Raw genomic sequence first — 10,284 nt, 5'->3', positions numbered from 1 at the left:
ACCCCACAACAGGATTTAATTAACCTCGCCTTCAAGGTGTACAATAATAGAAAAAAGTTGCGATTCCTTGCCTCCACTGTGAGACAAACCCCAGCCACATCTCCAGCACACAAGAACTTCCAAATGCCTGAACCGCAGCGGCCAGGCATTCCTCCAGAACCTCCTCCCACAGGAGCTTGCTACACGTGCCAGAAATCTGGCCACTGGGCCAAGGAATGCCCGCAGCCCGGGATTCCTCCTAAGCCGAGTCCCATCTGTGTGGGACCCCACTGAAAATTGGACTATTCAACTCACCTGGCAGCCACTCCCAGAGCCCCTGGAACTCTGGCCCAAGGCTCTCTGACTGACTCCTTCCCAGATCTTCTCGGCTTAGCGGCTGAAGACTGATACTGCCTGATCGTGTCGGAAGCCCCCTAGACCATCATGGACGCCGAGCTTTGGGTAACTCTCACAGTGGAAGGTAAGCCCGTCACCTTCTTAATCAATACGGAGGCTACCCACTCCACATTACCTTCTTTTCAAGGGCCTGTTTCCCTTGCCTCCATAACTGTTGTGGGTATTGACGGCCAGGCTTCTAAACCTCTTAAAACTCCCCAACTCTGGTGCCAACTTAGACAATACTCTTTTAAGCACTCCTTTTTAGTTATCCCCACCTGCCCAGTTCCCTTATTAGGCTGAGACACTTTAACTAAATTATTTGCTTCCCTGACTATTCCTGGACTACAGCTGTATCTCATTGCCGCCCTTCTTCCCAATCCTCCTCTTGTATCCCCCGACCTTAACACACAAGTATAAGATACCTCTACTCCCTCCTTGGCAACCGATCATGCACCCCTTACCATCTCATTAAAACCTAATCACCCTTACCCCACTCAACGCCAATATCCCATCCCGCAGCAAGCTTTAAAAAGATTAAAGCCTGTTATCACTCCCCTGCTACAGCATGGCCTTTTAAACCCTGTAAACTCTCCTTAAAATTCCCCCATTTTACCTGTCCTAAAACCAGACAAGCCTTACAAGTTAGTTCAGGATCTGCACCTTATCAACCAAATTGTCTTGCCTATCCACCCTGTGGTGCCCAACCTGTACACTCTTTTGTCCTCAATACCTTCCTCCACAACTCACTATTCCGTGCTTGATCTTAAAGATGTTTTTTTCACTATTCCCCTGCACCCCTCGTCCCAGCCTCTCTTTGCTTTCACCTGACACCCATTAGGCTCAGCAAATTACCAAGGCTGTACTGCTGCAAAGCTTCACAGACAGCCCCCATTACTTCAATCAAGCCCAAATTACTTCCTCATCTGTTACCTATCTTGGCATAATTCTCATAAAAACACACGTGCTCTCCCTGCCAATCGTGTCCGACTGATCTCTCAAACCCCAGCACCTTCTACAAAACTACAACTCCTTTCCTTCCTAGGCATGGTTAGCGTGGTCAGAATTCTTACACAAGAGCCAGGACCATACCCTGTAGGCTTTCTGTCCAAACTTGACTAGCCCTTATGTCTGCGTGCAGTGGCTGCTGCTGCTTTAATACTTTTAGAGGCCCTCAAAATCACAAACTATGCTCAACTCACTCTCTACAGTTCTCATAACTTCCAAAATCTATTTTCTTCCTCATACCTGATGCATATACTTTCTGCTTCCTGGCTCCTTCAGCTATACTCACTCTTTGTTGAGTCTCCCACAATTACCATTGTTCCTGGCCCAGACTTCAATCTGGCCTCCCACATTATTCCTGATACCACACCTGACCCCCATGACTGTATCTCTCTGATCCACCTGACATTCACCCCATTTCCCCAAATTTCCTTCTTTCTTGTTCCTCAGCCTGATCACGCTTGATTTATTGATGGCGGTTCCACCAGGCTTAATCTCCACACACCAGCAAAGGCAGGTTATGCTATAGTACAAGCCACTAGCCCACCTCTTAGAACCTCTCATTTCCTTTCCATCGTGGAAATCTATCCTCAAGGAAATAACTTCTCAGTTTTCCATCTGCTATTCTACTACTCCTCAGGGATTATTCAGGCCCCCTTCCTTCCCTACACATCAAGCTCCAGGATTTGCCCCACCCAGGACTGGCAAATTAGCTTTACTCAACATGCCCTGAGTCAGATAACTAAAATACCTCTTAGTCTAGGTAGATACTTTCACTGGATAGGTAGAGGCCTTTCCTAGAGGGTCTCAGAAGGCCACCGCAGTGATTTCTTCCGTTCTGTTAGACATAATTCCTCAGTTAAGCCTTCCCACCTCAATACAGTCTGATAACAGATGAGCCTTTATTAGTCAAATCAGCCAAGCAGTTTTTCAGGCTCTTAGTATTCAGTGAAAGCTTTATATCCCTTACGGTCCTCCGTCTTCAAGAAAAGTGGAATGGACTAAAGGTCTTTTAAAAACACACCTCACCAAGCTCAGCCACCAACTTAAAAAGGACTGGACAATACTTTTACCACTTTCCCTTCTCAGAATTCAGGCCTGTTCTCGGAATGCCACAGGGTACAGCCCATTTAAGCTCCTGTATAGACGCTTCTCATACCAGACACCAGACCAACTTAGACTGTGCCCCAAAAAACTTGTCATCCCTACCATCTTCTGTCTAGTCATACTCCTATTCACCGTTCTCAACTACTCATACATGCCCTGTTCTTGTTTACACTGCCAGTTTACACTGTTTTTTCCTAAACCATCACAGCTGATATCTCCTCATGCTATCCCCAAACTGCCACTCTTAACTCTTGAAGTAAATAAATAATCTTTGCTGGCAGGACTATGCTGAATCTCCTTAGGCACTCTCTAATTAGATGTCCTAGGTCCTCCCAATTCTTAGACCTTTTATACCTGTTTTTCTCCTTCTCTTATTCCATTTAGTTTTTCAATTCATACAAAACTGTATCCAGGCCATCACCAATCATTCTATACGACAAATGTTTCTTCTAACATCCCCACAATATCACCCCTTACCACAAGACCTCCCTTCAGCTTAATCTCTCCCACTCTAGGGTCCCACGCCGCCCCTAATCCCGCTTGAAGCAGCTCTGAGAAACATCGCCCATTCTCTCCCCATACCACCCCCCAAAAATTTTTGCCACCCCAACACTTCAACACTATTTCATTTTTCTTATTAATATAAGAAGGCAGGAATGTCAGGCCTCTGAGCCCAAGCCAAGCCATCGCATCCCCTGTGACTTGCACGTATACGCCCAGATGGCCTGAAGTAACTGAAGAATCACAAAAGAAGTGAATATGCCCTGCCCCACCTTAACTGATGACATTCCACCACAAAAGAAGTGTAAATGGCCGGTCCTTGCCTTAACTGATGACATTACCTTGTGAAAGTCCTTTTCCTGGCTCATCCTGGCTCAAAAAGCTCCCCCACTGAGCACCTTGCGACCCCCACTCCTGCCCGCCAGAGAACAAACCCCCTTTGACTGTAATTTTCCTTTACCTACCCAAATCCTATAAAACGGTCCCACCCTTATCTCCCTTCACTGACTCTCTTTTCGGACTCAGCCCGCCTGCACCCAGGTGAAATAAACAGCCATGTTACTCACACAAAGCCTGTTTGGTGGTCTCTTCACAGGGACGCACATGAAAGAAGCCATTTACAGATTTTAAGAAAACAAACAAACAAAAACCATGACCAGTTTTGCATTTTAGAAGGATCTGTAAGTATAGTATGATGAGGATGGTTGGAAATCACTTAAGAAACTTCTGAAAACTTTCAGGAAAAGGGGTAGAAGGGAGGTAAGGATGTGAGAGTTTTTAGAAGGTAAAAGAATTAAAGATGAGTGGCTGATTATTTGTGATTAATGTAGGAGAGGAATAGAGTTATAAAACTGGTGAACAAAGAAAACTTTGGCTCCTACAGTAAAGAGATTTGAAAGCACACACAGAACTTCTTAGTTCCCAAAGTGTAGTTTGCTTAGGAGAGCCGGCAGTGGAAAAGATGCCTCCAGAGTTGCGAGGGAATAATGAGTGTGATGGTTTGAAAAAGAGAGATGTTGTTTTCATGTTTCAGTAATTCATGTATGACAAAAAAAAAAAAAAAAAACCACTGGAGGAGACTGGTGGGCACTTGCTGAACAAATTGCATATTTTTCAAGATAGCAGACTCAAACTCAATTAGAATTATTACTAATTAAGGACATGTGAATAAATTTGAATATCTAAGTGTGTGTGAAGCTCTGTATTTATGATCCTCATGGTCTCCGACTAATAGATTCCTCAACCCTACAGCAGTTGTGTGTGGGGTTATCTAGTGGAGGGAGAAGCAGCAGAGGAACTGAGGAGAGAAGACATCCAATTAATTAAGAGAGTATTAGTTCTTGCTCCTAATTAACATCAACTAAAAATAGGAATTTGACAGGTGTTTGGCCAGAAAGAGCATATTAAACAATATTCAATCTTTAGGGAAAGAGCAGAAAAAAACCCACAGAAGCATCCAGAGGCCATTTCCTAAAAGCTTCTCTTTTGCAATATAATGCCTTCCGCATATTTTAGGAACCCCCTGCCCGCTTTTCCCCAGAACCAGTACAGAGCTATCCTACTCTACACAGTTGAGTTATATGGACTCACACCTATCCATACATCTTCATAAAATTTGTTAAATTATCTTATATATATATATATATATATATTAGAGTTATATTAGAGTTATAACTGGACAGAAAATAAGTTAGACAAAATGCTTGAGCTGTCAATTTGATTATTCCTAAAAAGCAAAGTTTTTCATCAACTACAACCCATAAGGACATGGATTTTCCCTCTCATCTGTTCACTGATGTATCTTCTGTGTTCAGAACAGCGCTGGGGCCATATTTTCTCTGAAGGCTGTAGGGAAAGATACTTTCTGGCCTCTTCCAGCTTTTGGTGGGGGTCAGCAATGCTTGGTGACTATTGGCTTGTAGACACAATGCTCCAATCATTGCTTCCTTGTTCATGGGCATTCTCCCTGGGCCTGTCTCTGTGTCTCCTCTCTTCTAAAAATACCAGCCACGTTAGGTGTAGGGCTCACTGTAGTCCAGCATGGTCCCATTTTAACTTAATTACACCTGCTTCCAAGTAAGATCTCGTTCATGGGTGAGAACTTGAATATATGCTTTCAGAGGGTGCAACTCAGCCAACAAAATGTTCTCCCAAGATTGTTTATTCATATGTATCATACTCTTGGAGTACATCTTCAAGGAAACCAAATGTCTGTTGATATTGCTAAATACTTTCTTAACTCTCTCCTGGGTTTCTCACTGCCCATTTTCCCAAAGTCAAATATAATACATAAAATATCTCCACTCTCCTGAGACATGACACCTACTGGGATTTTTCTGAAGATAGTTTAGGTGAAGAGGGGGCAAAACAAAAGACACATAGGAATGGTTGATTTACAGGGATGAGAACAGGTTGAAAAGAGGTACCTTAATGAAAGATAAAAGGATTTTGTAAGAGGAGATGCGGGATAAATTTCACTGATTTTTTTCTCCAGCCAGCTGTGTTTCTGATGGTAACATGAATTGTCACTTTATTTGCATTTTACTGCATTCTTTATTTGCAGAAAAAACATTTCATACATTAATGTGTGTATACACACACACACACACACACACACACACATATATGTATATATAATGCCTTCATTTGGAAATTTTCTAATGTCAGCTTTTATTCAACAGATTCTTATAAAATATGATTTGTTATGCACCGTATTAGGTATTGGAGGAACAAAGGACACGTCACTGACATGACAAGGGGTGCATTTGAGGAAGGTTAAATGGGGCATTGTAAGGGGAATGGAATGGAAGAAGAGACAGACAGACTGGATGAGGGGACTGGTTTAGATACTTTTATAGTAGCTCAGGTGAGAGGCAATGAGAGTTTGAATTACAGCATAAACACAGGGCTGGGAGGCAGGAGCTAAGTCAAGAACTTGGACAAAAGTGGATACAGAATCTTGTGACACATCAGTCATCAGATGTGGGTAAATAAATGTAATTCATATGACCCTTGGAATTTATTTCACCCATAGAGATGTAGATCATCCTGACCCGATATTCCCAATGGGAAAAACTAGTTAGTCCAGCACCCTGTCTGTAACACCTGTGGATCATCTGTCTTCCCTGTGGCTACCTCTTCTTATGTCCTGTGTTAGCTTGTGATGTTTAGGTTTCTTCTTTGCTGAGCTAGACATCTTAATTCATCTCTTGATTGATGCCACTATAAATGCATTCACATTAAGATTTTTGCAACTTTGTGGACGAGTTTTGGGTCACACTACAAGGTAGTCTTATCAGAGCACACATGGTTGATCATGATTTTGTAGGAATCCTCTGACATCTCTCTCTTAACCACCCTTCTCAAGCTCTCAGCATCTCGCATTTGCAAAATTCTCCTGGCATGTGACCATTTCTTGATCATTTATATACAGTTGGATAAGAAAAGAAGAATCACTATGGGTGATACGAAGTCATTCTCATGCTTTATTTAGGTATAGATATAGGCCTTGTTATTGACCTCATGGGTTATACAGTCTACTTAAGATACTTATGTATGTGCTTGCCTTTGAGTTTGAAGTTATCAAAGCTGGTGCTTAAGAAAGAAAGATGAATGTGACATGCAAAAGAGAGGACAAATGGGAATTTGAGGGAAAAATCTTGGTCTCACATCTGTCTGTCACCCCCTCCAATCTCAGTGATAGGGTGCAGATAGGTGAGTGTCCCTCACCAAGGAGCTGCACAACCACCTGACTCAAGGCTCAGAGAAGCTGAAGGGGAAGGTCAGGTGGGAGCTGGGAGCATTGGGCCTGGCCACTGCCCACAATCCCCCAGGGGAATCCACAGAGGAGCACCTGGATGCACAACAACCCTCCAGGTGGCAACACAGCTGCTGCTTCTCTTCTGGCTTCCAAATTACATGCAGAGTTCCTTTGTAGAATAATTGAAAATTCAGAGAAGTGGATTCTGGGAAAGAATTTCCAGCTTAGCTAAGTCATCTGGGGCAGTGGGGCACAATCCACAGATCTACCATCATTATGGAAAGATGGTCCTGCTCTGTTGTGTTTTCAGGAAAAACGAAAGGGCTCCCAGGCCTGCTTGATGCTTCCAGATGCCTGGTGACAGGAATCAAGAACCAGGGAAAGGCCTCAGGATGCTGAGTTCAGAAATTGTGAGGATCGAGGGGTGAGAAATCGAGAGCAGGTAATTACCTTGGAGAGATCAGCAGCAACACCTCCCACTTAGTAACCTCACCCGAACAGAGACAGCTCGGATGATAAGGTACCCTACCTCTGATAAGACCACTTCTGATAAGGTAGTCTTATCAGAGCACACATGGTTGATCATGATTTTGTAAGAATGCTCCCACATCTTTCTCTTAACCACCCTTCTCGAGCTCTCAGCATCTCACATTTGCCAAATTCTCCTGGCATGTCACCGTTTTTTGATCATTTATATACAGTTTGATAAGAAAAGCAGAATCACTGTGGGTGATAAGAAGTCTTTCTCATGCTTTATTTAGATATAGATATAGGTCTTGTTATTGACCTCATGGGTTATACAGTCTATTTAAGATAGTTATGTATGTGCTTGCCTTTGAGTTTGAAGTCATCAGATCTGGTGCTTAAGAAAGAAAGATGAATGTGACATGGGAAAGAGAGGACAAATGGGAAGTTGAGGGAAAAATCTTGGTCTCACATCTGTCTGTCACCCTCTCCAATCTCAGTGATAGGGTGCAGATAGGTGAGTGTCCCTCACTATGGTGCTGCACGCCCCCATGACCCAGAGCTCAGAGAAGCTGAAGGGGAAGATCAGGTGGGAAGTTCCTGTACATATTTTAGAAAGAATTATGTAAGGAAGGCTGAATTCAAAGTAGGTGAGTCTTTGGATTCAGTCCTATACATTAAGGCCTATTGGTTCATGTCTGCTTTTTGACTTATGGCTTAGGGCTGCTATGAGTATGAACCCAACTACAGGAGACTTTAATTAAAATAGGCACAGTTTGCTTTACATACATAATTTCAAGTCTTTACATACATAATTTCAAGTCCCCACAATAGCACTGTGTAATCTCTATTATTATTATTATTTTCTCTATTATCAGACTTTCCTAATCTCTATTTTACAGATGAGGAAGCTGGTTCTCGTCAAGATTAACTGACTTGCCCCAAATTACACAACCTGTAAATGCATAAGGAGGAACCACATCAATTATCTGCCTCTGAGGCACACATTTAAAACATTTCCTCTGCTGCTTTCATTTCCTAATGTCCTGGGGCCAACCTGAGGCTCATCTGAGGGAGGTGTCTGAGCTTCATGCAAGAGAGTGAGAAATACTAAGTTGACTGCAATTGACTGTGTGTGTGTGTGTGTGTGTGTGTGTGTACGGGCACTTACCCACACACAAGACACATATATGTACTTGTATTTGTGTTTATGCACACACACAAACACACACACACATACATGACAAGTACAATGTTTTTCTTTCCTCAGCCTTGATGTGTTCTAATGGCTAATGCAGAGTCTTTGCTCACATGTCTACATACTGAGTACCATGCTGAATGCCAGGTTAGTAATGAAGAACGGGGATGGTCACTACCACATGGAGTTGGTAATCAAATGGAGGAGGAAAAAAACAAATCAAATGCTTACACTAATAAACATGTAATTATATTTTAGCTTATTGTAATCTCAGTGCACCAGAGATCTATGAGAATTTGTGACACAGGAATCTCTGGACTGGGGAAGCTGAGCAAGTTTTCTTTGAAGAGTGAAGGTGAGTTTATCTGGAAGAAGAGTCAGGAGAAGAATGGGGTAGAATATTGAAGACAGAAGAAACCAAACACGTAAAAACCCTGGAGCAGGCAGAATGAATGGAGGTATACTTAATTAATTAATTAATTAAACACTTGCAAACATCAATTGCAAACAACACTTGCAAATTTCTTTTTGGGAGGGGGCACCTACCATTTTCCGTAGTTTGCTGGACAGCCCCTCAGAGATTTTGCAGATGTTGGGATGAATGACACATAGGCACCAATTGATGTGTGATAAAGTTTACTATTCACTTGGCAAGCAGCAAAGAGTTTCTCCAAAGAGAAGGTCAAGAGCAAAACAAGGAAGTGCAAGCATTTGGGATTTTCACTGTGGACAAGGGTTAGAGCCAGGGTGGGAGTACCCTCCCAGGCAGGTGTTCATGTTGTTTGAAATGCCCATCTGCCTGATGATGAAGGGCAGAAGCACCAGTGCTTACGGGGTTGTCCAGATGTGTGCAAAGAGGAAAGGAGGGGCAGGACTTGAAATCTGTCATTGGTCAGCAAAATTAGTCTTTCTCTTTATTACGTAGGGGGAAGTTACTGCAGAGTGACTTTTCATAATTTCAGTGAAATGCATGAAAACACTAGTAAATTTTTGCATGGGGTGAATGCTTCTAGAAGCTAAAGTCAAATAGTCAAAACAGAAAATAAACAATGTTTTTCCTGCTGTCAATGCCATTACCTGAAATGTAAGGAATATACCATGGCTGCTTTAGGGAGTGTGTGCATTTTTGTGCCTGTGTGTGGGGGCATATGTGTCTTTTGCTGTGTGGGAATTATAGAAAGATTAAATAGATTATTAGAGAAGGATGCTGATGAAAGCATTCTTTTTTCACTTTTATTTACATCAGTACTTCTGGCACCTTACAAGGTATGGGATTATAGAAGTAAAGGCAAAAGAAGTAAAGAAAACAGAGATAAATGAAAAAGAGTTAAATAAGCAGTTTTTGAGTCCCTACAACAGGGGTGTCCAATCTTTTGGCTTCCCAGGGCCACACTGGGAGAACGATTGTCTTGGGCCACACATAAAATACACTAACACTAACAATAGCTGATGAGCTAAAAAAATAGCAAAAAAATCTCATAATGTTTTAAGAAACCTTACTAATTTGTGTTGGGCCACATTCAAAGCTGTCCTGAGCTGCATGCAGCTCGCGGCCCATGGGTTGGACAAGCTTGCCCTACTATATAGCACCATCTGCCAGGTGCATTATGTAGGTTAACTCTTCAAACCTTATAAATATGTATTATGTTAGTATTCATCCTATTTTGCAAATCAATGACCTGAAGTTCAAAATGTTATGAAAGATCATTCAATTAATAAGTGGGTGAATTGAGATTTGATAATTGGATAATTATGACTAGATTATTACTATAGTTTACCTGTTGTTTCAAGTTCAGTATGTTGATTTTATTTAATTTTTTTTTCCAAATAAATCATTAAAAGTTTGAGAAATTCCCTTCAGGTTACTCTTGCT

General features: G+C 42.1%; 1 long non-coding RNA gene across 1 annotated transcript, besides 3 other annotated features; it reads left to right on the top strand.

Moving 5' to 3' along the window:
- Positions 2,376-2,889: an enhancer, noted in NCBI's record as "H3K27ac hESC enhancer chr2:8013543-8014056 (GRCh37/hg19 assembly coordinates)". NCBI's record gives its function as "activates a minimal SCP1, AML or CMV promoter by ChIP-STARR-seq in primed H9 embryonic stem cells {active_cell/tissue: H9 hESC(primed)}" and the evidence as "EXISTENCE:reporter gene assay evidence [ECO:0000049][PMID:30033119]".
- Positions 2,890-3,403: an enhancer, noted in NCBI's record as "OCT4-NANOG-H3K27ac hESC enhancer chr2:8013029-8013542 (GRCh37/hg19 assembly coordinates)". NCBI's record gives its function as "activates a minimal SCP1, AML or CMV promoter by ChIP-STARR-seq in naive H9 embryonic stem cells {active_cell/tissue: H9 hESC(naive)}" and the evidence as "EXISTENCE:reporter gene assay evidence [ECO:0000049][PMID:30033119]".
- Positions 3,404-3,917: an enhancer, noted in NCBI's record as "OCT4-NANOG-H3K27ac hESC enhancer chr2:8012515-8013028 (GRCh37/hg19 assembly coordinates)". NCBI's record gives its function as "activates a minimal SCP1, AML or CMV promoter by ChIP-STARR-seq in naive and primed H9 embryonic stem cells {active_cell/tissue: H9 hESC(naive and primed)}" and the evidence as "EXISTENCE:reporter gene assay evidence [ECO:0000049][PMID:30033119]".
- Positions 6,987-8,919, top strand: LOC101929861 (uncharacterized). The gene is made up of 4 exons (XR_922753.3): positions 6,987-7,190; positions 8,116-8,313; positions 8,484-8,558; positions 8,670-8,919. It is a non-coding gene; the product is annotated as an uncharacterized LOC101929861 (long non-coding RNA).
- The last annotated feature ends 1,365 nt before the right edge of the window (positions 8,920-10,284 follow it).

The sequence above is a fragment of the Homo sapiens genome, chromosome 2 (genome assembly GCF_000001405.40).
Source record: "Homo sapiens chromosome 2, GRCh38.p14 Primary Assembly".
Lineage (NCBI taxonomy): Eukaryota > Metazoa > Chordata > Mammalia > Primates > Hominidae > Homo > Homo sapiens.
The sequence above is the reverse complement of the archived record's forward strand: the minus strand, read 5'-3'. Positions and strand labels throughout refer to the sequence as shown.